At 46.4% G+C, this 27,397-nt stretch overlaps 1 protein-coding gene across 6 annotated transcripts, besides 5 other annotated features; it reads right to left on the reverse strand.

Annotated features, from left to right (window-relative positions):
- Window positions 1-187: 187 nt before the first annotated feature.
- Window positions 188-27,208, reverse strand: POU2AF1 (POU class 2 homeobox associating factor 1). 6 transcript variants are annotated; one of them, XM_005271593.3, is made up of 7 exons: window positions 27,095-27,208; window positions 11,766-11,922; window positions 11,112-11,367; window positions 6,721-6,851; window positions 5,728-5,770; window positions 5,378-5,643; window positions 188-2,508 (listed from the first exon to the last, which is right to left on the reverse strand). In XM_005271593.3, the coding sequence occupies exons 3-7, from the start codon at window positions 11,266-11,268 to the stop codon at window positions 2,194-2,196; spliced, it is 912 nt and encodes a 303-aa protein (XP_005271650.1). In that variant the 5' UTR covers window positions 11,269-11,367; window positions 11,766-11,922; window positions 27,095-27,208; the 3' UTR covers window positions 188-2,193. The 6 variants fall into 6 exon arrangements, with proteins under 6 accessions (XP_005271650.1, XP_006718923.1, XP_006718922.1 ...); XM_006718860.5 differs by having other exon boundaries at window positions 188-4,366; XM_006718859.2 differs by lacking the exons at window positions 11,112-11,367; window positions 11,766-11,922 and adding an exon at window positions 25,707-25,785.
- Window positions 1,133-1,182: an enhancer, noted in NCBI's record as "active region_5506". NCBI's record gives its function as "activates an Ori minimal core promoter by ATAC-STARR-seq in GM12878 lymphoblastoid cells {active_cell/tissue: GM12878}" and the evidence as "EXISTENCE:reporter gene assay evidence [ECO:0000049][PMID:35858748]".
- Window positions 5,610-6,456: an enhancer, noted in NCBI's record as "H3K4me1 hESC enhancer chr11:111228402-111229248 (GRCh37/hg19 assembly coordinates)". NCBI's record gives its function as "activates a minimal SCP1, AML or CMV promoter by ChIP-STARR-seq in primed H9 embryonic stem cells {active_cell/tissue: H9 hESC(primed)}" and the evidence as "EXISTENCE:reporter gene assay evidence [ECO:0000049][PMID:30033119]".
- Window positions 7,217-7,511: an enhancer, noted in NCBI's record as "tiled region #2637; HepG2 Activating DNase matched - State 5:Enh". NCBI's record gives its function as "activates a minimal TATA promoter and a strong SV40 promoter by Sharpr-MPRA in HepG2 cells {active_cell/tissue: HepG2}" and the evidence as "EXISTENCE:reporter gene assay evidence [ECO:0000049][PMID:27701403]".
- Window positions 15,649-15,808: an enhancer, noted in NCBI's record as "active region_5507". NCBI's record gives its function as "activates an Ori minimal core promoter by ATAC-STARR-seq in GM12878 lymphoblastoid cells {active_cell/tissue: GM12878}" and the evidence as "EXISTENCE:reporter gene assay evidence [ECO:0000049][PMID:35858748]".
- Window positions 27,135-27,184: an enhancer, noted in NCBI's record as "active region_5508". NCBI's record gives its function as "activates an Ori minimal core promoter by ATAC-STARR-seq in GM12878 lymphoblastoid cells {active_cell/tissue: GM12878}" and the evidence as "EXISTENCE:reporter gene assay evidence [ECO:0000049][PMID:35858748]".

The following is a 27,397-nucleotide window of genomic DNA, read 5'->3' on the forward strand; positions in this document are numbered from 1 at the left end:
ACCTACTTACCATCAGTACCGACAAAGATGTAAATGCATCTTCTCAAATGCTGTCTTGAACTTTTAAATCTAAAAAATATCTGAATAAAAACAATTCAAGATTTGTGTACTGGGATTTAAGGCAGGCACAGAGAAATCTGGGTCAAAATTAATCTTAAGCAGAAAAAGAAAATCCAAAACAGACAACTTTCTCCAGAGTTTTTATTTAAAGTGGGCAAAGAAAATATGTCAAAGAAACTGTCATTTCCCAGAAAAGTCATTTCCCAGAAAAGTCCATGACTTCTACATGGATTCTACCAACTGAAATGTCTGCTTAATAGTGACGATGGTGCTATTAGCAGGTGGGTGAGCCAGTTCCCAAGGTACACGTTCACTATCAAGAGCTAAGCACACCTGCTAACAACTCAGTCTCCTACAAACCTGATGTTTCTCCAGCAAAACAAATTAAAATTAAACCTAATGGTACTTCTGGCTGAGGCTCCAGAGGTCCCCAGGAGGGAGGGTGTTTGCGTGGAGGGGGCCTTGGTTCCACAGAATGGTGGCTTATGGACGCTTTTAAGACACTAAAGAAACCCACATGGTAAAAGGCTGGGTGCGGTGGCTCACGCCTGTGATCCCAGCACTCTGAGAGGCTGAGGCGGGCGGATCACAAGGTCAGGAGTTCGAGACCAGCCTGGCCAACATGGTGAAACCCCGTCTCTACTAAAAATACAAAAATTAGCCAGGCATGGTGGCATGCACCTGTAATCCCAGCTACTCGGGAGGCTCAGGCAGGAGAATCACTTGAACTTGGGAGACAGAGGTGCAGTGAGCCAAGATCGCACCATTGTACTCCAGCCTGGGCAATGGAGTGAGACTCCGTCCCAAAAAAAACCAAAAAAAAGAAAGAAAGAGAGAGGAAGGAAGGAAGGAAGGAAGGAAGGAAAGAAGGAAGGAAGGAAGGAAGGAAGGAAGGAAGGAAGGAAGGAAGGAAGGAAGGAAGGAAGGAAAGAAACAAAACCCACATGGTAGCACTAAGCCTAGGCGAGGACCCATCACCTTTAGGCTTAATGGGGTCTTGGCCTCCACAGCACCAGCAGAGGGCCTAGAGGTGAGACAGAAATGGCCGACCAAACACACCCTTCACCCTGTTTACAACAGCCCAACTTCCCTTGCACGTATCCTCAAGGAGAGCAGCAAAACCATCTCTTCAAGCAATGCTTTCCTTTAGTTTATTGTTCTTCTTAATAACCAAGTAATCTGGAGCCAAGTCATTCCTCAGCCTTCCTCCTCCCTGCATCAAACTCAAGCTTCCTCCCACACCCCTCTCTCCAACTAAGATGCACAGCCTGTTCCCATCCCTCCTCTGTCCCTCTCTTCGTCACTGGCCTGTCCCCACCCACCCTGATGTTCTTTTCTCCCTGCCACCCACTTCCCACCCCTTACTACTCTGAGCCCCAGGCCTTGAGATTTTGCTGCCTGGACTGTAAATCTGGCCGAGGCTGAGAAGAGCAAACAAAGGAGCAACTGTGGGAACTGACAGCTCAAGGACTCTGGCATCAGGGTAGGCCCTTGGCTGACTTTCTCAGGAGGTGCTGTCGGGGCTGGTCTTCCCGCCGGCCACCACATACATCTTAAAATTACAGAGGGTGTGAGTGACCCTAAGATGGTTCAGCAGGCACTGGAGGAAGGAGGCCTTTTCCAAGAAATGAAATGTGACAGAAATGAAAGCCCATGGACCACAGACTTGGCAACATTTGACATAAAATGTTATTGCTAAAATCCCTATAATTACCTCCCAAAATGGAACAGAATTGAAAAAAGAAGTAAGAAAGAGAGAAGAAGCGAGGGAGGGAGGGAGGTAAAGAAGGAAAGGGAGAAGGGAAGGAGGGAAGGAAGGGAGGGAGGAAAAGGAAGGAAGGGGTTGGAAAGGGAGAAGGGAAGGAGGGAAGGAAGGGAGGGAGGAAAAGGAAGGAAGGGGTTGGAAAGGAAGAAGGGAGGGAGGGGAAGAATGGAAGGATGGGGGAGAGGGAGGAAGTGAGGGAGGGAGGGGAAGGAAGAAGGGAAGGAAGGTTTACAGGTCTACAATTCTAGCTGTGCGTAGAAAGTGTAGTCATGAAATGACTACTCCAAACAAGCATGAACCTGGGGCTCAATTCCAGGCTCATTTTAAAATCCCAGTTTCAGGGAACAGGACTCAGGTGGGAGCCACGCCTAAAAGCCTTCCACAGAGAGAGTGTGGTTAAGCGCATAGGCGTCGCTATCCTCTTCCTCCAAAAGCAGCTTGTCGATGGTCAACGAGCTGGCGGCTCTTCTGGGGTCTTCCATGTCCTGAAGGACTGGCTCTGGGATAGAGATGGGGAGCTGGACAAACTGGGGCCCAGGTAGGGCTGGGGCCGGAGGCTGGTACTGCAGGGTGGAGGTGGGTAGTGTGGAAAGGGGCTGAGGCCACGGGAAATAGGTGAGGGGTGCCTGGTGCTCTGGGCCCTCCAGCGGGGGCCCCACTGCGGGCGTGGCGGAGCTTCTTGTCTGTGACAGGAAAACACGTGACAGAGGGTTAGCAGCCCCAGGAGACCCATCCACCCATCCTTGCCCTTAGAGGGGTCTCCATCTCCCCCTTCAATTCTGCCCTTTCCTGGTTTCTCACTTCATGGGGCTCCACCTCCTCCTGCTCAAAGTCTTCCCCAAGGGAGGAGCCAGGCTGACTTCAACCGCAGCCCCAATCCTGACCCTTCCTAGCTATATGTCTTTGCTCAGGCCACTTCCTGCTCAGAAGGCTCATTTTTCTCATCTACGAAATAGAATACAAACAGTAATGAACTCATTGGGTTAGGCCAATTAGAGAGGATTTTCCAGGTTTCGTTGAATACAAAATTCATTTCTATTTCAGAGATCTTAAAACATTAAAAATATATGCATCTTAAAATCTGTGAAAATATATGTTAAACCACAGCCTGGAAGCTGTATCTGGAAGGTGGCCACTGTCCTGCCCAGACACAAAGACAGTCCGGGCTCCACACAACAGCTTTGGAGGTCCCCTTGGGCCAACACAGCTCCATCACCTCCCACCCCTCTAGTGGTGGCCAGCATGGGGAGGCCTGGCCATCCCCAGATGGGGGAAGCACTGCTTTGTCAGCAAACTTGGCCTTCCTTCCTGCTGCTGCCTGGTGCCTTCCACATCCTCATCGTCCTCTGTCTCTGAGCTGATCTCCATGGCCATCCCACTTATGGGCACCCCCCATGACCCTCCAAGTGTTAGAGTCCTTCTCCTGAATGCTCTGCGAGTCATACCTCTCACCTGCACGGCGACTGCCCTCACAAACCTCAGATCAGGCCTGCAACAGGGGCGGGACCTGGATTCTTACTTTTCTTTCACACTTGAGGAAAGCAGATAGAAGAGGATGCTCTCTGCATGGATTCATGAGAGGGAGGCCAAAATCTCCCCCTACCATCCCTGTCTCCCCTGTCATATATCCCTCCTACTGTCACTGTGTCTTGACAGCAAACTGTTAGAATCATTTAGGGCAGGGCTTTTCTCAACCTCCTGGGGATCTTGTTAGAACGCAGCTTCTGGCACAGGAAGTCTAGAGTGGGGCCTGGGATTTTGCATGTCTAATCAGATCTCAGGGGGACTCCAATGTGGCCAGTCCAGGGACAAGAGTTTGAGTAGCAAGGCTTTAGGGTGTTTTTGCACAGAATGATAGAGCTGGAAATGGTCTCAGAGGCCTTCCAGCCTCCTGAAATCCGGGCTGAGGTGTACACCCCACCACAGCATAATCACTTCCTCTCCTTTGACTTAAGCCAGTGGTCCCCATCCCAGTGTCCTGAAACCAGACAGAATCCGGGAAAGCCTCATGATTCCCAGCTTTTCAAAAATCCAGATGGAAATTCTACATTTCCCAGTCATAAACCTGTAACTATAGGTTTCTTTGCTCGGGAATACAATTACTTCCACTCAGCACACAGCAGGTCTTATCTCTGCTGATCAGGAGTGTGGACTTACAGCTCTAGCCAGCTTTGATGACTTAATTTACAAAATGGCAAAACAAATAAATCAATTCTTAATGAATACTGTTTGTTTGATATACAGAACCTTTCAAAGCAGAAGGTGGGAATGATGAAAGGGGATAAATAATGAAAGGAATCCTTGGTAATGAAATGGGTGGGAGCCGTGAGTCCTCCACCCACCACCCTCACCCCAGGCCTCTGACATGGAAATGAGTTGCCTGGGAGAGGTGTTGGATTAACTCCTTCTTATCTATCATCATCCAGGCTCCAAAATTGGTTTGCTGGGTAGGCAGGTGGACCTGGGAGGGAAGGGCTTCTGCAGGCCTTTCATAGAAGGTGCTTGGAGGCAGGGGCAGGTGCATCAGGATGACACTGGACCCTGGAGGGAAATGGAAGAGACAAGGTGGACCAAAGCAAGCACCACCATCGAAGGTGGGCTCTGGGACTGCTCAAGGCCCAGCTCTACTTCCCACGGTTTCCCTGGACTGGAGCTGGATACAGCTGTAACCACAGGTCTTTTTGCCCTTGAATACTTGCAAAATTCCCAGTCCTTTAGTCGAACAGGAATCATTAACATAAATCTATTTCCCTTCCTTCCTTCATTCCCGGGGGAAGAGGCTCTTCCTTTCCCATCAAGCCCTTGGTTAATGTTAGCAGATTTTGATATGATGATAACTAACATATATTAGTGGTTTCTGTATGCCAGACACTGTGCTAAGCCCTCCACACTCATTATTTCATTTGATCCTGACAACGACCCTTTTCTTGGTATTCCCATTTTACAGATGAGGACACTGAGGCTCAGAGAGTTTTAAGTCACTAAACCCAGAGTCACATAGCTAGTAAGTGAAGGGACAGGGATTTGAACAAGGCAATCTGACAGTAGAGACAGAACTTTAAAAAATTACCCCACACGTGGGTCTGACACCATCAAAAATATCACCTGTTGTTCAGCCTAGAAATCTTCTGTTAAACCCCATTATTAAGTGAACAATCACTCCCTAAGTTATCTGAATAGAAATGAAAGGCTAGTTCCAACACAAGACCCCATGTAGATCTCGCCTGGTGCCACATTCACTAAAAACTTCAACTCAGAACCAAGACTCACTGCTTGCAGGGAAGCTGGGGAGATTTAGAACAGGGAATCAGAGAAGACCTCCCCAGTCCTGAGGAGCAGAAAGTATGACGAGAGAGGCTGCGAGACATCTTTGTGGAAGTTATCTCAGGAAATGAGAATCAGAGCAGGCCTCCATGGAGACCAAGGCGAGCTCTGATGACCTGATTATCTTGAGAATCAATAGCAAGGAAGATCAGGATCGAGAAGTCAGCTCTGGTTATAAAAGGGTGCACTCAGCATGGGCGGGTGCAGTCCTGCCTTTGTGTGACATACCGTGACATTGGTGATGAGTGGCGGAGAGGCATAGGTCAACACTGAGGAGGGCCCCACCACCGTGTAGCTGGGGCACACGGGCTGCACATACATGTCAGCTGAGTAGGGGCAGCTGACAGCTTCATGGGGCACATACTCGGTGTAAGGTGTCCATGGGGCCAGGGGCTGCAGGGTGGCCGGGGTGGGCTGGGAGAGCCAGCCGGCACACAGGGCAGCCTCCTCTGTCACTGCAGACACAGAACCTTCCATGTCCAGGCAGGAAGGACCTGTGGGAAGAAGGAAATTACAGAACTTCAGATGCCACCCAGATGAGAGGCCTGGGGGCCACCAGGGCTACGGGGCACTCTTACCCACTGTGGTGTAGGTCGCCAGGGGCTGATGGGGCAGCACCACCTAGAGGGGAGAGGAGAAGACCAGGGTCAATGTTTAGCCCTCGTCAACCGGCCCTGTGCAGAGAACTTGCCCAGAGGGCCTCAGGGCAGGAGAATAGAAGATAGGAATCTCTCTGGTTAGAACAAAACATCCCACCCCGTATCCCAACCATCACCACCTACACTTGAGAGATTTGCGTTTCTATTTAGCAGGAAGTCTGTGCGCTCAGGGAGCTGGTGTCTTCTTCTTCTCAGGGGGGGCCCCCAACTCACACCAGGGTATGCAAGTCATTCGCTCACTCAGGCCTTGACAGTAGCTGTGTTCGGTGGGCCAGCTGAGCCGGCCCTGATCCCTCATCCCAGTTGCTCCACCCTAGCTCTATCCCTGGCAGCCTCCACCAAGGGACCTGCGCTCCTTCCTGCCTGATCCTTTTGGTCACCTCCCAAGCCATCTGCCTGCGCGCACACACATTCTCACACAAACACACACACTCTCTCACACACGTACTCTCTCACACACTCTCACACTCTCACACTCACACTCTCACACACTCACACACTCTCTCACACACACTCCCTCACACACATACTCTCTCACACACACGCTCACACTCTCACACTCACTCTCACACACACACACTCTCTCACACACATACATTCTCACACACTGACACATACACATTCTCTCTCACACTATCACACACTCACACACGCCATCACACACAAACACATACACACTCACATGCATACACTCACACACTCACACTCCCTCACACACACATACACTCTCACACACTGACGCAGATACACATTCTCTCTCACACTATCACACTCTCACACACTCTATCACACACAAACACATACACACACGCATACACATACTCACACACACATACACTCTCACACTATCCCTGACACACACATTCTCTTTCACACACACACACTCACACTCTCACACACACAAACTCTCACCGCCGTAGGTGCAGGTGCTGCCCCACTGCTGGCGTGGCCTCGCTTCCTCCTCAGCAGTTCCTTCACTGGCTCCTTCACACGGACGCCCTGGTATGGCCGGGCCGGGGCTGGGGCTTGCTCCGGAGCTGTGGCTGTGAAAAGCAATGTCCCTGGAGCCCATGGTCCTTCTCAGACGAGCCCCCACCCCAAAGTGCTCATTTCCTCATGGATCTGCCTGCTCCCCTAAGTCGTGCTTGAACACGGAGAACCACGTGACACTTCCTAGAATGCCTCTCCAGTATTGTCACTCCTCCTACTCCCAAACCTTCTGTGGGTCCCCTGCACCCAGACAACGAAGGCCCAGCTCCTTGTCCTAGAATTGGACAGTCTTCAGAATGAGATCCGAACCCATTTTTCTCACCACTTTGCACACTCCCTACTACACAAACCCTGTCTCCAACCAGAAGGTCTGTCTGTGTTCTCTACGTGTTCCTGCGTGTCTCACCTCCTCATCTGTGGTTGAGGTTTTCCGTGGTCAGAATTCCCTCTCACTTCTTCCAACCTCTTGATTCTTGCTGACACAAGACAAATGCAACCCTCCTGCCTGACCCCTGCAGCCTGAGTAATTTCCACATTCTACAGCTTCTCAAACATTTCCAGATCTGATTAGTATTCATCATAGGTGGCAGTAGAGGACAGCCATAAGAGCAGGGACTCTGAGCCAGATAGCACAGGCCTCAAATCCTGCCCCTGCCACCACCTTCCTGTGTGATCCTGGGCAAGTTACTAAACCTCTCTGTGCCTCTTAATCTTCAGTTTCTTTATCAAAGGAATATTGAGAGAAGTCACTTGATGTGGGAAATTGGTAGAACAGTATATGCCTCAAATAAATTCAGGTACAGGGTAGGCATTCAAAAAAATTCAGTCTATTATGTAATAGTTATTCTTTTTGATGGAAGTGTCTTATACCCACAACTAGATTATAAACGTCTCAAGGTGAGTTATTGTACCTTATTTCTCTATGTCTTCCCAGTGGCATGCCCATGCGTTTTAAGCTCAGTTGATACTTATTGATTAATCGATTGGGTGATTCTTTAAGACATGCTGCCATTTGTCTTCCCTTCACCTCTCCTACACCTTTAGGATTGAGGCAAGTGGCTCCCAGGTTCTCAGTGACTTTCAGGGCATGGGACAATTACCCAAGGGTGATCCTTGTACCCTGGGGCCAGACAGTGTCCACCTGCTGCTGAGGGAAGGTTTCCTTCCCCTCTTGCCATCAAAGCCAGGAAACCAAAGCATTGACCCAAATAAGAGCCAGTGCATAGGGCCCTTCCTGGCCTGGGAGAGCAACTGAAAAGCAGCCGTGGCTGGGAAGCAACAAGCTGCCCACCTAGACAGCCTGTGGCCTAGGGATCCTGGGCTCTCAGAGAGCAGGCCTGGGTCAGCCAAGAAACACTAGACCTTAGGACTTCCACAGGGAGCCCATTATTATCCACCGATAAGGGCCCCAGGGACCTGGGCTCTGAATCAAAGTCCCGGAAGCCTAGGTATCTGTTAAACCCGGATCTGCAGCACTGCCCTGGTTGAACTTTGCTCAGTAAATACCCAGCTGATAAGGTCCCATGCCTGACTCGGCACCAGACCTCCCTCCAGGCTCCAGCCACGAGCAAGGCCTGGCCTTGAAGCCCAGAAGGCAGAGAGAAGCTTGGGCAGAGGCAACAGGAAGTGGGAAATGAGTCCCAGGGGCAGATGTTGGGGGTCAGGAATCCCAGTATCTCAGGTGGACTTTAGACCCATCCTCCAAGGTCCCTCAGCTGGCCAGGTAGCAAATCAACCAGGAAATGATGCAATATACAGGTACAGGTCCTGCTCCAGGAAAGTCTGATTCTAGGGGGCTGATATAGGCCTAGGAATCTGTATGTATAAAAATCTCTCTTGGGAGGCTGAGGTGAGTGGATCACAAGGTCAGGAGATTAAGACCATCCTGACCAACATGGTGAAAGCCCATATTTACTGAAATACAAAAAATTAGCCAGATGTGGTGGCAGGCACCTGTAATCCCAGTTACTTGGGAGGCTGACTCAGGGGAATGGCTTGAACCTGGGAGGTGGAGGTTGCAGTGAGCTGAGATCACACCATTGCACTCCAGCCTGGCAACAGAGAGAGACTCTGTCTCAAAAAAAAAAAAAAAAAATCTGTCCAGTATTTCTGAAAATATACTGGGATTACAACTGCTGATAATCCATTCCTAATTTAACATAAGAATCTCCCGATAACATCCCAATAGGAGATTCATTATCCTTATTTTAACTTCCCCTGTCTGAACAAGAGATCTCTACTGGTATTCATTCATTTTTTCAAATATTTCTAGTGCCTAGGAGTACAGCACTGCACAGGACCCATGGAGCCCCCGCCCACGTGGATCTTGCAGTCTAACGGGGAAGACAAGCAACAAAAGTTACCAGCAGATGAATGTGTCACAACTTGTGAAATTCAGGCTGCTATAGGAGTGTCTAGCAGGGGAACCAGCCTGGTTCTGTGCCCCGGGGCCACCTGTGCGCCTCCACCTTTGCTCTGAACACCAATGACAGTAGACTTGAGAACCACACATACCTGTATTCAAATCTGGGCTGTCACTTACTGGTGGAAAGTTCTTAGATTTATTTAATGTCTCTGGGCTTCAATTTCCTCATTTGTAAAACGGGAATAATAATTCTTCTCTCACACAGTGGTTGTGAGGATTAACCAAAATAATACATGGGGAGCTCCAAAGGCCATGTCTGGCATAGGGTAGATGCTCAATACATGTGGTTTTAATTATCTTCCTTCTGGCCATTTCCACCTTCCTTTCGGGGGGATATTATCATGTCAGACAGCTCTTCCTCCTACTGAGGCTAACTTATGGTAACACATGCCATATTTCCCTCCATTACCTTCTAATGAAACTCACATTTCTTAGTCCATTTACAGCTGTCTCATCTATAAAGTGAAGATCATAATGGTATGTATGTTGTAGGGTAATTTAAGATTTGCATGTGAAGTGCTTGGAATAGAGTTTGGCACAGAGCATTTAATACATGTGAGCTCCGATTATCATGAGTATTAGTAGTAATATTCCCTTCCGAAATCTGAGGACAGATACCAGGTGTCCCCCTAGGTCTGAAGGGACTTCTCATTCCTTCAGCTATTTCTAAATGACATGGTTTTAGTCTCCCCACCTTCCTTCTGGGTGAGTCACTCTTGCACAAGTTCCATTTGCCACTTTCCCTACTGCTGGGTGGTGCCCAGCGATGACCACAGGCCCCAGGTACAATCTGACGTGTCAGCGAACAGGGCACCTGCCCTGCCACACTCAACTCACTCTTTCTCAGGGTCACCCCATGGCCACGTCAGCATTTTTGGTTTTAATCTTTATGAGTACATAGTCAGTGTATATATTTATGGGGTACACAAGATATTTGGATACGGGCATGCAATGCACACTCATCACATCAGGGTAAATAAAGCACCCATCCCCTCAAGCATTTGTCACCTCTTTGTGTTATAAACAATCCAATTATACTTTTAGTTATTTTTAAGTGTACCATAAATTATTGTTGACTATAGTCACCCTGTTGTGCTGTCAAATACTGGATCATATTCATTCTATCTAACTATATTTTTGTACCCATAAGTCATCCCCACTCCCACTCCCCCTGCTGCCCTTCCCAGCTTCTGGTAGCCATCATTCTACTCTCTATCTCCATGAATTCAATTGTGTGAATTTGTAGTTCCCACATACAAGTGAGAACATGAGAATTGTGTCTTTCTGTGCCTGGCTTATTCCCTTCACATAACGTCCTCCAGTTCCATCCATGCTGTTGCACACGTCAGTTCTGTTCACAACCATATCCTGCAGTTCACACTTGTCTTCAGTTGGGTTCTCAGCTATTCCTTAGGCATAAAGTACAGTCTGAGGCATTGTGTACTCAAGAGAAATTTGGGAAATGGGGTTACTTGGGGGGGTCTGAGCACTGTGGTCACCCTCTTAATTCAGCTGAGGAACAAGAAGGGCTCAATCCCATATGCACATATCTCAGACCATCTCAGAGACAGGTGTATGGCTCAGCCCCCTCTTGTTTGCATGTACACTTCTGAGGAAGGGCTCAGAGGCCTCCTGGTCCCAGTCCCTCCCAGGAAGTGGACACACCACACACTTGGCTGGAAAGGGACCAGCTGGCCACTTCCAGGATCTTGTCAAGAGAGGGCTTCCCGCCTCCTACTGTTTCTAAGTCGATGAACAAAGAGCGCTTGGTGGAGGTGCTGTGGACAGAGAGTATCACCCTCTAATGTCTGGACTTCCTTGGAACTCAGTGTCAACAGGTGTGCCCTGGCACAACAGACCATATGTGGGGCAATCTCTAAGTCCCCACCTCTTCCTATTGACGTTGCAGGACTCCCACAGCTCCCACGGGTCTCCTGACTGCCCGGCACGTGTCCACAGCCAGCTGCCAAGGAATTCTGTAACTGACTCCAGCTGAGCAGGTAAGAAGGAGGGTGCTTCTCATAGTGACTTTGCAAAGTGCTCATGAAATATCAGAATCTGAAGCTTCAAGACGATTCCAAAGGAGCCCAACGGCCAAGTGTTTTTGCAAGTTGAAACTTGCAGTTGGTACCTTTCACACCAACCTATGTGCAGCAACAATAAACATTTTTAATTCCACAGTAAACACTGAGCTCCCTACTGCCACCAGCATGAGAACTGAGCCCACAAATACAAATTTGGGAGAGGAAAAAAGTTTGTCTAAAATCACGGTTGCCTCACCTTGGGGATCCCGGATCCCTGAATTAACTTCAAAACAACTAAACTGGAATACGTAAAAGAAATATTTTTAACTTTTTAAATAATTTCTTAAAATCATAATAAAAAATCCAAAGAAAATAAACCAGGAGATTGAAATAATAAGATATCAGCAGAGAAGATAGAAGCCCAATTTCCCACAGTAGAGTTCTCCAGAGATTTTAATAAGCTCCCGATTAACTTGTAACTCCAAGTAGTTCACCCTCAAAGCCTGAAGCTTTCTCACCATTAATCCTGTGGTCTGAGGGCCTTTTAAGTCTCCCGTAGGTATCCAAGAGTCCATCACGGAGGAAAATCTTTCCACCTTAGCATGAGCCTCTCGGCCCTGATTGGAGATCTCCTTTTTCGGGCTGAGAAGTTCACCATATTGCCTTTCTATACCACTGGAAGTCAAGCCAATGGAGTTTGAGGGGGAAAAAAAATCATTTACAGAAAAACCATTAATTTGGCCCCTATAAGGGCTTCCCTTTTCCAAAATGAGCAATGAAACAAAATCTGTAGGTACAAAAAGTCAGCAGAGACTATTTCAGTTCCCCCTGCCACACACCCAGACATGCTCCACATCACAAAAATAAGAGTCCTGCAGCTGCTGTTCCACTGGAGAGTGCAGAGTATGAAAACTCAAGCAAACTGGTCACCTCAGTCAGCACCCTGGCTGCATGTGGACATTTGTGCCTGCTTTGCACCAAGCTAGGAACATATGGAGTGTACTGATTTAAATAAATATGGTGCTCCAGTTCCTTGATGAAAGTATAATAAAATATCACCCAGGAAACATGCAAAATTGTCAGCACTTGTTTATTTAATGGCACCTTGCAAACCACGTTCACACCACAGTGCAGGAGCTGCTCATCTAAGGAGCTAAGACCCTCCTGATGGCTCTGAGCTAAGCAAACACCTAGGGCCTGGTCAATGGTAACTTCTCTTCTGGGGCAACTTTAAGAAAGCCCATGTCAGAAGCCATTCATTCCCTAAAACAGCCTCCAAGGCACCCTTGAGAGAAGGTCCTTCTCCCAGCCATTGTCCTCTTGTGACGTCCCATGAGCTGCCAGGGCCAGGCACCAGGGTGGATAACAGTTAAGAGAGTTGCTCTAATGGCGAGGTGGGCTGCAGGATAAGCATGCATTTCCGTCCCACCATCTCACCTACTGAGAGTACTCTCCATTCACAACTGACTGGTTGAACCTCAAATCAGCAAGGCAGCACCACAGTGAGGGATGGAGCAGAGGAGAGGAATGTACCTTTCCTTATTTGATCAAGGCTTGAATCTGGAATTGCCCATCTGATCTAGCATAGGAATAACATGGGAATGATCTGTAGTTAGGCAGCTGGAGGAGGCAAATGGATATCCAGTTGTTTGTTCCTTGATTTAAGCAATATCTAATTTTGGCTTTTCAAGACCAAAGACAGCCTTATGAAAAACAGAACTTTTCCTGAGACCATCATGTAAGGACCACTTTCTTGGAGGATGGACTCTTCAGACCCCAGCATTAGTTTTGTATTTGGGGTCAGACCCAACTGCCCAAGTTCCAAGGCTCATGGTGGCCTGGGGTGCAGCCTATGTGAGTGAGGGTAGCCCTAACAATGGATTCATGAGAGACATCACGGCCGGTCAAGAGGAGCTTTCTGGATAATGCTCAGCTTTGCTAACAAATGGCCCTCATGATGCAAGGGATTCCTTTATGAAGGACATTGGAGAAAGGGAGTGGTTGTTAGTATCAAGCCTGAGAAAGAAGTCACTTGGTCAATTTTTTAGGAACTTACCTAAACAACAGGTAAACCTTGTAGCCGTACAAGGCCATTTTGCAAGATAAAAGCCCCTAGCCCAGAAGGACATGTGACACACCGTTAATAGTGACACACTGTTGATCACTCTAAGTAATCAATGGAAATATCTTCTGCTGTTGAATCTTCAAGGAAAAAAAACCCCACTGAGAAGAAATACGATTTTCTCTTTATTTGTAGCAAAACTAATCAAACAATAGGAATTCAAGACTATGGCCAACAAACTTGCCCTGGCTTCTAACTGAAAATGAAGTCACAATAGTCGTTGTCACCTTTCACTTTCGTATAAAGAATTCTTTACATTTTCATAGAAGAATTAGCTGGGTGCGGTGGCAGGAGCCTGTAATCTCAGCTACTCAGGAGGCTGAGGCAGGAGAATCACCTGAACCCAGGAGGCAGAGGTTGCAGTGAGCCAAGATCGCACCATTGCACTCCAGCCTGGGCGACAGGAGCGAAACTCCATCTCAAAAAAAAAAAAAAAAGAATTGTTTACATTTTCATGCAAAGAATTTTGTTTGTACTTGTGGCCCAAGGACTTCTAGAGAACATTAACTCCAGTTGGCTAAAGGATTATTCACATCTTTAACTGGAACACTAATGTGGGTGCTTTTCTTACAGTTACGGTCTGAGTCAAAGTTTTCAAATTTGTTCTTTCCATTCATGGACAATGGCTGATTTTTTTTCCAAACAGGAAGAAAGAAGTTGGGTTTTGGCCAAAGGTTGGACTTGACACACTACAGAAAGGCTTTCCCGCTCATTTACACTATATTTTAGTTGACCTTTGTTGTTGGTGTTTAATGTAGGCCAACAAAGAAATCCCATATGCATGTAAACGCAGACTTTCCATTCACTAACATTTGAACTGAGAGGATCCTGCAGCCAGGAATTATAAACACATCACTCATATATCCTGCAATCTGGATGATACCCAGGACAGAGGAGAAAAAGACAGCAGGGGGAGAAAACTGACGTTAAAGGTGGTTGGAAGACATGAGAGAAAGGGGAACCATGATTGATGTACAATTTGATGTTGCCTGCAAGGCTGCTGGACAGCTGAAGAATAAGTTGTAATATCTTGCTTGGTAGGCTGGGATGTCTGTATCAGATCACAAAGATGGTGGCTGACCTCACGTTCTCTGGTCTGGGTGGAGAAGATAAAGGGACAGTGACATGTGCCCTCCCTGTGTCCTCATTCTAAAAGACTATTCCTTCCCATCAGCCCTGAAGATCTCACTCATCAACCATAGGCAGGTCCCCTGGGAAAGGCTGAACCAGGGTCCACGGTCACTGAGAATTTCCCCAGACCTAGGCAAGCCACCAGGACCTAGAAAGAAGAGCCCTGACAACGAGACCCAGGGGACACTCTTAAAGTATGTTGGAGGTGACAGCAGAGGGTTTTTCAGTCTTAGAGCCACAGAGCCCCAGACAAAAGTGGTCTAGGGGCCAAGTGATTCCTACTTAACAGAGGTCATAGCCAACAGGAAATGGACCCCCAGGGCAGTCACAGGGATCCCTCTAGGTTGTATTAGGCTGAAGTCAAGATCCCACTGACCCACAGAAGACCACCCTTCTCCACCAAGCTCAGACCTGAGCATTTACACCCTAAGGCCTCAGGATTACTTGGATTGTCCCTAAACTTCTGGGTGTCCCGCCCCACAACCGCAGGTAGGGGCAGCCAAAGGCCTTGAGTGCGAGAGGTTTCCACGTGGCAGTGGCCCTCTAACCCTTCCCTCACAGGCAAGACTCCCAGGGATCCTTTCCCCGGCACTCTCCGCACCTTCCACACCACACCTCCCTTCCTCTGAGCCTCCTGCAGATCAGGTCAAGCACAGAAGGCTGTTTGTACCCATTCTCTGCTCCCAGGGACTCAGGTCTGTTGAATGAATGGGTGGTAAAGGTCCATGTGTTTCCTGGTCACATTCTTAACTCTTGGGAGCTCTGAAATCACCACACTCCTATTTGCATGATGTTCCATAGAGATTTTGACACTAATGATTGCAGATAGAGGCTCAGTACAACGTATTCCTCTTCCGCTCCCTTCCTTTACCGAGAAGGAAATTGATGCTCAGAGATATTCAGTGACTTGCCAAACGACTATACTTGTAAGTAACAGTGTCCTCAACCAAGCCCAGGACCTGTGATTCCAAGTACACTCCACTTCTGCCTCACTGCCTGCCTTGTCTCTGCCCGAGCAAGTCCCATTTTTTTCTCTGAGCGACACTGCAGGTTAATCATCAAATGATTCCTGGCCCCATCCTAACCCTCCTTGCTCCAGTTAAAGTCTGGGCTTGGACTACCCTGATCCAGTCTCCCTCAATTGCCAATTTCCCCAAGAAATGGTGTTGCCCAGCCAAGAGAGGAGAGATCTGTCCACGAGAACCTTGTCAGCAGCCTTCTCACATGAGGAGTGACGAGAACTGAGAGACCCAAACAATTCCCCGCAAGGTTTTATTTTTGGTATTTTTCGACTGAAATGACAGCGGACAGGTCCACCTGAGAAAGCAGCTGCATCTGCCTGCCTTTTACAGAAACTGGGGTCACCGGAGCAGAAAGGGTTCGCAGATACACTGTGTCCCAGGGTAGGGGACAAGACCAAGAGACCCCTGGCAGAGCATTCACTGAACAAGTACTTGCTGAGCAGAACAGATGAGGTTCTTGCCCTCTTGGAGCTTACAGTCTAGTCTAGTGGGGTACACAGACTTTAATCAAATAATTGCACAAACAAATTTAGAATTACAAACTGTGACAGAGCTGCATCTGCCTCAGAACTGAAGTGGTTCTGGTTTGTTTGGTTGGTTTCCACCTACACCTGGTTTAGTAAGGCTTGAACAAGCAGCAAACTGGGGCCCCAAGTCTGTAGAGACTGTATAGAGGTGAGTGCAAGAGATATGACTGTTGGATCTCCAGTGCAGAGGGGCTGGTCTGGGGCCAGAGACTCAGGCCTCACCATGAGCAGACCCTTGTCCCAGACACTCTAAGTGGCAGGTCCTGAGTGAATCCTAAGGGTGTGTCACTAGCTGGTCCTATCCTATCTTGGCTGATTGGCCCACCAAGAGAAGAGGAGTCCAGGGAACTCAGATTCTAAGATGGAAATCAGTAGGTTTCAGAGCTTCCATACTGAGTCTCGAGCGTGACTTGCTAAGATCCAAATCTGCAGAGGCTTTTGTGCCAGGCTAGAGCTACCCTTGATGAAGTCATAACCTGCCTCCATCTAAGCGAGGGCCCTCTTCAACTGGGAGAGGAAGAAGGACCCAGTGCAACACTAAAATCCTTGTCATTGAGAAGCAGTGTGGTACAGTTTGGGACTAGACCTAGTTTAGAAAGCCTGTTATGTTGCTTATCACCTGTGTGACTCTTGGCAAATCACTTAACCATTGTGTGCCTCAGTTTCCCCATCTGCAAAATGAAAGTAATAATATCCATCTCAAAGGGTAATCATGAGAACTGTATGAGATTAACACAATGAAACACCTGGTGCATAATGAGCTCCCAACAAATAGCCCTTTCTCCTTGATCTCAGCCAACAATCCATGGCCCATCTGTCATCGGAGAAGTAGCCTTGGTACAGTGACCCTAACTTGCCTCCATTCAGCTACATCCTGATACTGAATGTCTCTGTCTTCAGCATACCCAGGGCCTTCTGTTGCCTGCCAGGCCTGTCTCTACCTGCCTTCATTATGCTCCTGGAATTAATCCCTCAGGTACCTGGAATCCCCAGGCAGCAAGATACCCCTACTTAGGAGACAGGGAAGCCAATGATGCTGCAGAGGGGCTGGTAAAAGACTTCGCTTTCGTACAGCAATCCTAGACAGGAGACGCCAAACCCTGGAAATGGCCTTTTATAAAGATACGATGAGCTGAGCAGAAGACTTCTTTCTTTAGAAGTCACCAGAGGATTAGGTTTGCAGCAGATGTGAGTTTTTAAAGTATGACTTCAGAAATGAAAAACCTTGGATATTTTTGAATGGCAGCGATTAGGTTGCAGACAGAGTATGATGGCATTCCCTTGTCCTGACCTCAGATGCAGCCCCTTAAGGAACCTATATGTATCTCCTAAAGGCCAGGGACACAGCCATGGCTGAGGCTATGTTGTAGATACTCCCTCAAGGGGGCTAGAAACCTAGGAGCACATATCGCATATGGAATAGAAATGTGGCAATGGGCAAGGGAGGGCTCTTCAGTGCCCATAGATGGGAGTTTTATCACCTTGTAGAGCAAAGCAGATTCCTGGATTACATATTTGGCATTGCCTCAAATTTGCTGAGAGTGGGGCATCAGGAAAGAGAAAGGGCCTAAACAGAGCTCCAGACCTACCGTCCCAGACCAGAAGGTGAATGAGGAGAGTCCACCTACCCCAGTGGCCACCCCAATTCTATAGCAAGGCAGTACCATAGTGAGGGATGGAGCAGAGGAAAGGGCTGTCTCTTTCCTTATTAGATCAAGGCTTGAATCTAGAATTGCCCATCTGAGCTAGGATGGGAATAACCTGTGGTTAGGCAGCTGGAGGAGGCAGATGGATATCCGATTTTTTGTTCCTTGATTCAAGCAATATCTAATTTTGGCTTTTCAAGACTAAAGAGCTTTATTGAAAAAACTTAACTTTTCCTGAGACCATCATGTAAGGACCACTTTCTTGGAGAATGGACTCTTCAGATCCCAGCATTAGTTTTGTATTTGGGGTCAGACCCAACTGCCCAAGTTCCAAGGCTCATGGTGGCCTGGGGTGTAGCCTTCGCAAGTGAGAGTAGCCCTAACAATGGATTCATGAGAAACATCACAGCTGGTCAAGAGGAGCTTTCTGGATAATGTTCAGCTTTGCTAACCAATGGCCCTCATGATGCAAGGGATTCCTTTATGAAAGACATTGGAGAAGGGGAGTGGTTGTTAGTATCAAGCCTGAGAAAGAAGTCACTTGGTCAGTTTTTTAGGAATTTACCTCCTCTTTATTCACAAGAGACCCACAAAGACCGAACACATAGTCTTCACAGCTTCAGAGCTTGATGAAGACCAATGCAATATGTTTCACAGCCACTCACTGCCACTCTCTGTGACCAGCTAGCAGGGATCTTGCTAAAAAGAGGGGTAGATTGGCCAGGTCAGGGGGATCCAGCTGTGACCTGAAGAACCCTGGAATATAGTTATGGTGCCTGCAGGTGCCAACAGAGTGAGAATGGCAGGGAAATGTGGGGGAACATGAGCAATCAGAGCTCCAGATAGCCCCCCAAAACCGCACGATTTTTATTCTTATACTGAAGTTCTACAGTAGATTTGGTTTGAATAAGGGAGTTTGTAGCAAAAATGTTATAGACATCAGCCTAAAATCCTTGGATTTTCTTCCCAGTGCTAATATTTTATGTCCTAAGATGCATCTGCACACCCCAGGATCTAAGCAAGAAGTCTGATTACCATCTATTCTTCAGGATCCAAACCCAATGCTATATGTTCCATGACACCTTCCCTGATTCCATCATCCCCACCTTCTGCTGAAGATAATTTATTTCATTGGTTGGTTTCTCTAGCTGGAAATAATTCCATTATTGGATGGATGCTTAGAGGGATGCATACCTGCATGGGATGATGAATAGATGGTTGATTTTCCTTCTATACCTTTCCTTCCTGAATTGGTGTACCTTTCATCCAACATTAAGACTTGCTTCTATTGTCAACTCTCTTGCCTCTCTTCTTTTCTTTCCTTTCTGTCACCTCAGCGTTTCCTAGTCCTGGAAAGTTTTAACAATGTCCTGTATGCTTGCTGTCTTCCAATGAAATGTATGGCTCTTTCTAGTGCATTAAAAAGTAATTCAGTTTAAGACTGGTCAAATCCTTTTTTGTCCCAGCACCTGGTCTGAGAATGATTCTGGTTTATAATCTTTTGGTGACCAGCTCTTCCCAGAAAGTGGTACTAATGAAACTGTTACTAAGAAAAGGAGGCCACACATTGTTGTTTCAGTTTTCGGTATCTATTTCTTGCATATTTCAAGTGTCATTCTGCTCACAACTAGATTACAAACACTCAGTCCAATCTTGTGAATTAAAAAAACAAACACGAGTTTGCCAGTCAGTACAAGTCTTGCCGCCACCCTACCTTACAAGGTCGGTAGGAAAATTGTGACGCGAGTTCCAAGTTTGATCACAGAATGGTCAGATTAATCATCAGAAGTAACCATGATCACTAACCCACCACAAGTTACAAGACTGGAGATGTGTGCCCTGCCATTTCACAAGAAATTCAGAACTCAGAGGACATACAAATTGTAATCTAAAATTAGCCGGCATAACCTTTGTCTTCAGAGGTAGATTGTGACAGAATGGGAAAATAATAATAGCAACTAATATTTATTGAGTGTTTACTTAATGCCAAGCACAGCAGAAAACCCCTACCACAATCCCATAAGGTAAGAGTCACACCTCTGGTGCATGCCTATAAAGAAATGGTGGCAGAAGGAGGAAAAAGGACTTACCAGTGTCACACAACCAGTAAGGCATAAACCTAGGACTCAAACTCAGATCTGCCTGCCCCAGAAGCTAAGCTTTAACTACTAAAGGCAAAGAAAGAACAGAAGTGTCACTCTCTAACTCAAAGTTAAACCCTACTCTCTACATCTTACTCTCCACACCCCACCTAAACACACACAAATACACACACACACACACACACACACACACACACACACACACAGAGAGAGAGAGAGAGAGAGATGAAGGAGCAGCCTGACTTTTCCAAAGTCTAGAAAGTTCAGAATCAAGGAAGTGCCACGGAGGCAGAAGCCTTGGCTCCCAGCAAAGGCTGCCTGCTACATCGGGCTCTCTACTAAAACTGCCCAGAAAAGAGTAGGGCTGGGTTATTTGGGGGCAAACTCTAGATCCTTCTCTGAGCCTTTTATTATAGCTAAAATATCTTCAAACTGTCCCGCAGAAGAGGCCCAGCAGCAAGCAGAGACCTTGTTTTCTTCAACAGGTAAGCTGAAGTAAATGTTAAACAAAATGGGTTCTCATGGTATGAACTACCATCTGCAGGGCTTTTTTTTGCCATTGGTCCCTTATCTGACATGGAAGGCCTGTGCTTTTACCAAGAATACTTCCTAAGCAATGTGAGAGAGACAGGCACTGTGGCAGGGAGACAGGACAGCTTAGCAGGCCAACACTTGAGGTCTGTTCACATGAATTTTGCTTTGTAGGAGAGTTACTAACTTAATCTTCATGATTCAGTTTCCTCATCTATAAAATGAACCTTACAACAGAATCTGCTTCATGGAGTTTTTATGAGGATTAAATGAGATAATGCACTCAAAGCATAGTGAAGACTGGCAGTTGTTACACTCAACATCCACCTTCCCTTCCTTTCTAACAGCCCCTGCATTATGGAGGGTGGCAATGTGCCCAGCTAAACAATTATGCTATTCTCCCTTGTAGATAGAAATGGCATCAGATGTCAGCAGAAGTTGTGTGTTGGGAGGGAGAAGGGGCAGCGATCAGGAGGCATGATCTTTTGCTATTCCTTTTTCTTCTTCTTGCTTGTCCGAAGATGTGATGCTCACAGATGTAATGGCTGGAGTTACAATGGCAACTATGAAAAAAATCTTGAGGACAAGAGCCACATGCCAAGGATGGCAGATTAGAAAGGAAAAAGGAGCCTGGGATGATGTTGGCACTGTGAGACTCCATAAGATCCTGAACACCCTACTGTGGACTTCTTTTATGTGAGAGAAAGGACACCACTGTCTTACTTAAATCTACGTTATTTCAGGTCTCTTCACCAGCAATCAAATGTAATCCAAACTGATCCAACAGAACATTTTGTATACTGCATAGCACCAAATAAGTTCTCCATTCCCCAGAGATGTTTGTTTATCACTGTTAAAAGGATTGAGCATTCTTCTGCTCTTAGCAATGCCCAAAGGTTTATTAGAAGCCATCCATTTCAACCTCCAGGTCAGCAGTTCTCAGCCTTCTCACCTGGGAGCCATTTGCAGCTCTCCTTCAATGCCCAAGACAATTTAATCAGAAGCTCTAGGTTGAGATCCAGGCATCTGTGTTTCTTAAATCTCCTCAGAGCATTCCAGTGTGTAGCCAAGGTATAAAAACACTGCCCTAAGCAGATAGAAGAATCCCATCTATTAAATTAAGGACTTCTGATTTTAAACTTTAATTTATTTTTTGTATAAACACTCAGGAAAACTCAGCAATTAGAGCTGGCAAAGAACCTCAATCAAGTTCAATCTCCAGGAAAATTAGCCAGGAAAAGGCAAGTTCCATTCCAGCACTAGAACATTTGAGACCCAAAGTGGTTAGGTGGCTTGCTTAAGGTCTCTCATCTAATTATCTGTAGAATGGAAAGTAAAACCCCTGGCTCCTGCCTACAAGTGCTTGTCCCCAGTATCACACAAGCGGGACAAGAGGGTTTCAGAGAAGGCCTCCCCATCCCAGGTAGGCTCACTTAGTTGTCAAGCAGTTCTACAAAAATGAGAAAACTAGAGTGTTATTAAGCATTTCATAAAGGTGAGAATTATGTTAATGTTCATAATCAATTAGCCAACTTTGGTTTGGTTGGCTCAGAATAAGAAATAGGTGGACATCTTCATTAAGTGGGAAGATAAACTACTTTAGAAAGATGTCAAAGGGGGAAAAAACACTTTGTAATGGGAAAGTTAAAAGCAAATATTTATAAGACTTCTTTATGAATTAAATGTCCACATATTTAATGAACAGCTGTAGGCAAACTTGATTTTTTTTTTTTTTTTTTTTGGTTCCTCATGAAAGAACAGAATCCCAAGTGTGAATTGGGAGAGAGCTTTCAAAACTTCTGAGTCAGTAACTTTGGGGACAAATCTGGCATTTTCTTTAGTAAATAAATATAAGGGGCAGGAAGTAAAATATCCATCAAGAACATCATCTGCTTTTTTACCAATTAAATCTGTGTATTTGGTTGATGTTTGTCCTTTATTTCACCTCCAGACAGTGCACGTGAATTTGTGTCTCTCTTTTGGATTCTACTTGCCCTTAACAGCAAGAACTGCTTAATTGGCCAGGCGTGGTGGTTCACACCTGTAATCCCAGCACTTTGGGAGGCCAAGGCAGGTGGATCACTCGAGGTCAGGAGTTCGAGACCAGCCTGGCCAACATAGTGAAACTCCATCTCCAATGAAAATGCAAAATTAGCTGGGCATTGTGGCATGTGCCTATAATCTCAGCTACACAGGAGGCTGAGGCAGGAGAATCACTTGAATTTGGAGGCAGAGGTTGCAGTGAGCTGATCTTGCACCACTACATTGCAGCCTGGGTGACAGAGCAAGACTCTATCTCAAAAAAAGAACTGCTGAATCAATGGAATCAACTTGGTAAGAAGTAAAGGTGCTCACTAGGCTTATTAAATAAGCAAAGGTTGTAACATAGAATAGAAATATTAGAGGTTGTCCAGAAACCTAAATTACCTCTCATTGTAAGTTGTGCTTAAATTTATGTAGGAGATAGGCTTCCAAAAATTATATGCATAGTACACATTTTACTTATCTTTAACTGCCTCCCAAACAATATTGGCTCTTTAGTGGAACCCTAGAGTACATCTGAAGAGCAGAGTTCTATGTTGATGAGAATTTTAAGTCCTTAATTTTTCTGTTTGCTAAATCTCTGCTCTGTTCAAGTTGTCTGAAAGCAAAGGCATATCCATGACATAATAATCTGATACGAATTATTTCCTGTTCCAAGGCCAAGTCCACAGGACACCAAGACAATCAGCCAGTCCAAAGAAAATCAGTCAAGCCTGCCTTTCATTAGCATGTAGATTGTTCCCTAATACAAACAACAACAATAAAAAGCAACTGTCCAATTTGTTCACTTTCTAACAAATGGAGTTCAGTTTATTATACACAGTTCTATCACTTTTAAGGAAGAAATTCAATCAAATCAGTTTGGGGCATTGTACAAATTATTTAATGAATTGGCTGCAAGTTTTATTTCCCATTGGTGTTGGCAATGTACAACCCCAGGATACTGAGTATCTTTTTTTTTTTTTTTTTTTTTTTTGAGGCGGAGTCTCGCTCTGTACCCCAGGCTGGAGTGCAGTGGCACGATCTCGGCTCACTGTAAGCTCCGCCTCCCGGGTTCATGCCATTCTCCTGCCTCAGCCTCCCGAGTAGCTGGGACTACAGGGGCCTGCCACCACAACCCCAGCTAATTTTTTTGTATTTTTAGTAGAGACGGGGTTTCACCATGTTAGCCAGGATGGTCTCGATCTCCTGACCTCGTGATCTGCCCGCCTTGGCCTCCCAAAGTGCTGGGATTACAGGCGCCCGCCACCGCACCCGGCCTGATACTGAGTATCTTAAGGAAATGAATGCCTGAAGAACCAAGCAAATCATCTCAGACCAGAGGTTGGCAATGTTTTTCTATTATAAGCCAGAGAGAAAATATTTTAGGCTTTGTATGCTGCACAGTCTCTGTCACAACTACTCAACTCTGCAAAAGCAGCCCTAGACAATATTCAAATGATAGACAGAGCTGTGTTCCAATAAAACTTTATTTACAAATGGAGTGGCAGGCCTGATTTGGCACAGAGGCCATAGTTTGCAGACCACTATTTTAGACCCTTGGAAAATTTTGCAATATCCTATCACCCAAGAATATTTAGACTGTGGCTTTTTAACTATTCTAATCAAAGTGTGGAAAAGAATATATGAATTTAACATAACACTGATCATTCAAGATGGGCCCACAGGTGGTTTCCAGGACGGAAGGTACTAACTCATCCCTACCACTACTTATCAGGAAACTTGCTATCATTTTACCTACATTCTCTACTTTAATTCTCACAAAAACCTTGGGAGGCAGACATTAGAATCCCCACTTCCCAGATAAGGAAATGAATGGAAATTTCCTTCTCACAAAGAAAGAACTAAGTTGCACAGGCAACTTTCAGACCTGTCTCCCTCCAAGGTTCCTGCTATTTCCACTACACTGTTACTAGCTGGGGAGGGATGGTAATTCTTCACATGTGCACCTGACCAGCAGGTCCAAGTCCAGAACCCAGGGAGAGAATCTACAGATGGAGTGACTTCTTCATCCAATTGGCCCATCAAGCAAATCTCAAATCCATTGGTTGGGGCTTGAAGATTTCTACTTCTCTGTGCCAGCAGTTCTGGGCTTTGTCACTTTATGCTCTAATCTTAACCAAAAGCCAGGGTTCACATTTAGTCCACAAACTAGGGTCATGGGCTAGGTAGGGAGGAGGTAACATTCACAAAGTGAATGTTTTCTTAACCCTTTCCAGAACCCCATAGTACAGTCATTTCAGCTCATGCCTCGAGGGTGTTTTCTGAAAAAAGAAAGTGCCCTTTCAGCACTCTTGGTGTCTGATTTCAAACCCTGCCCTTCCATCGGGTGACTCTAAGTGGGCTGACATGCTGCCCTGTTTTTACTGATTTTCCCACACGGTTTAGTCACCCAGGTGCCCTCTATACCACATACTTGGGTTCAGGCTAAGGGGGTGGGTCCAGAGCCCAGGGTCTCTCCTACTTTTCCTTTAAGGCTTAAAGGACAATTCAAGATAATTTTGATTTGTGTTCATCTGAACATGTGGAAACATTCACCCCAGTTATTCCATTGATGAGCTTACAATGTGGTCTCCCTTACAATGGAGTTTTGATCTATCTGACTGGTCTCCAGGGTGTGAGCAGGAAGCATGCCCTCCAGCATCCCCTTTAAAAAATTTGGGGGACAGGTGCAGTGACTCACACCTGTTTGGGAGGTCAAAGCGGGTGGATCACTTGAGTCCAGGAGTTCGAGACCAGGCTGAACAACATAGTAAAACACCATCTCTACTAAAAATACAAAAAAAAAAAAAACAGCTGGGTGTGGTGGCGGGCACCTGTAGTCCCAGCTACTAGGGAGGGTGAGGCGAGAGAATCACTTGAACCCAGGAGGCAGAGGTTGCAGTGAGCCGAGATCGCGCCACTGCACTCCAGCCTGGGCAACAGAGCAACACTCTGTCTCAAAAAACAAACAAACAAACAAAAAAAGTCTGTTCATCTCTTAGAAGGAATTAGAAATGAAAAAATGTACTACAGAACCAAGAGGGGAGAATATGGCAGATGGTGAATGCAGGGAAGCAACTCATATCTCAGAGGCTGATGCAGACAGAGCAATGAACATGACTTCGGTGGCACCTCACTTACTAAGGATAGATCCTCAGTGTGGATATGATTTTTACCCCCACTTAACATACAAAAAACCTAAGGATTGAGAAAAAGGAAAGTGGCTTGCTCATAGAAGGTAGGAGCTGAGGCAAAACTCCTTCCAGGGGCTCACACAAAAATCAAATGATTCAGCCCTGAGTGAAAGGGCACACAGATGCTTAGGGGCCCCCAGTAAAAAGATGAATGCCCACCTGCTCTCATCCACACAGCACTCACAACAGGGTCAGCTGCCATTGTCCCAGAAAGGATAGGCTGCCGCTGCTCCATCGCCTGTTGGGAAGAGTGGCGTGCCAACAATTCTTGAATATTCCTAGTTATCTTGGAAGGAGTCCATAACTCTCAAACCCAAATTAAAGCTCATTTCTCTTTATTTTTTTAAAAAATTGACCTTTTGATATCAAACAATGGTGGGTCTTCACAACCTGAGAAATTTTGAAATCACTCTTCTGTGTTACTGGTTAATCAGCTTAATTCCAGAGAAATTTACATAAGACATAAAGCAAACAATAAATTGGTGATGACAGTGTCACATTTTAATCAATGAAGTTATATTTTCCGAACTTTAGTGGATCCAATCAAGTATCTTTCCATAAAATAAAAACATTCCCTAATATATCTTCTTCTGTAAATCTAGATTCTCTTATATTAAGCTTGCTTGAGGCACAGCATACTAAAATTAATTAAAACGAATTTTAAGGAACCAAGAATCTTTAAGAGAAAGACAGAGCAATTTTTGGTCATTCTTCTTGCTTGAGGAAGTATAGAACTAGCCCCAATAAGGTTCAACTCTCAGAAGCTGATGAGTTGACGCTGTTTACCTCGTGAAAAGAATGTTGTAAATAATCTGTATTATTTCAGTTATTAGTAAGGTAAGTCGCTGTTTGGTCCACATAAAGGAAAATAAAGTTCACAATTGTTTCATCCAACTCCGGGGATAAAAATCAAGGCCAAAGATAAACCCACTGCATCCTTTGCAGTGGGATGGACAAGCCTTGTCACAGAAGGGGAAAAAGAATGACGAAAGGCAAGACAGTGGAGCAAGTGAGGACACGCTTCACCGAGCCAGATCTCCACTCCTCCCAGGGTATCCACAGGGACAAGTCACACCTGGCAGAAAGCTAAGTCACTCAGCTAGAAACAGGCCCAGGGAATTCAACAGAAGGCTGAAGAGCCACTGCTTATGGAAATAAAGCCCCTCCTGTAAAGAACTGCATGGCTTTTCCCTCCCAACCCCAAACCCATCCCACATCTGGCTTTTGTTGTGTGAATCATAAACTGCCCTTTCTTCACCACAGTGATTCATGCACAGAAGCGGAGGTACCCTGAGCCGTCCCACCTTGGAACACTAGTTCGTTCCCCTCCAGCCTGGAAAATCAGCATCACCTCTGACAGGCTGGTTTCTCCACCAGGCTCCATCCCGCCCACCTCCCCCCTCCCTGCTCCGGGGCTTGGAACCCAGACCCCCTCCCCCCGTGGCCCCATCACCTCCACCACCAGCTCCCCAATTCCAGACCAAGCTGTGATCGCCCTGCCCCGCTGGCACTCGCTTGGGTCTGACAGCCACAGCCAAACCACTTACGTTTTTGCCAGAGCATGGCCTGTGACAGGATGTTGCCTTTTCTCTTTGAAGCCGACAGTTTGGCTTCTTTAATGTGAGACCGGGGTGTGTTTTCCTCCAGTGGAGCCACCGCTTGAGCTGAGGCTGTTTCCTGGGCTTTTTAAAGGCCTGGGTTCCCGCTGCGTGGGCCGCGTCATCACATCCTCCCACCTCAGGCACCGGTGCAACGTTTCTGCAGCCAGGCCGCCTGTCACCCCACTGTGCGCGCCCCAGCGGCCCCGGCCCAGAGCGCTCCACACTCGGAGCTAGCCAGCTGGGACAGAG

Source organism: Homo sapiens, chromosome 11 (genome assembly GCF_000001405.40).
Source record: "Homo sapiens chromosome 11, GRCh38.p14 Primary Assembly".
NCBI classification, from domain to species: Eukaryota; Metazoa; Chordata; class Mammalia; order Primates; family Hominidae; genus Homo; species Homo sapiens.

What these genes read in the sequence shown, in the direction of transcription:
- POU2AF1 (XM_005271593.3), bottom strand. Translation starts at nt 11,268, where the DNA reads ATGAGCACTTTGCAAAGTCACTATGAGAAGCACCCTCCTTCTTACCTG. An exon ending in TGCAACGTCAATAGGAAGAG is followed by an intron (nt 6,852 to 11,111) that starts GTGGGGACTTAG and finishes TGCTTTTCACAG; the next exon opens with CCACAGCTCCGGAGCAAGCC. An exon ending in CAGCACCTGCACCTACGGCG is followed by an intron (nt 5,771 to 6,720) that starts GTGAGAGTTTGT and finishes TCTCCCCTCTAG; the next exon opens with GTGGTGCTGCCCCATCAGCC.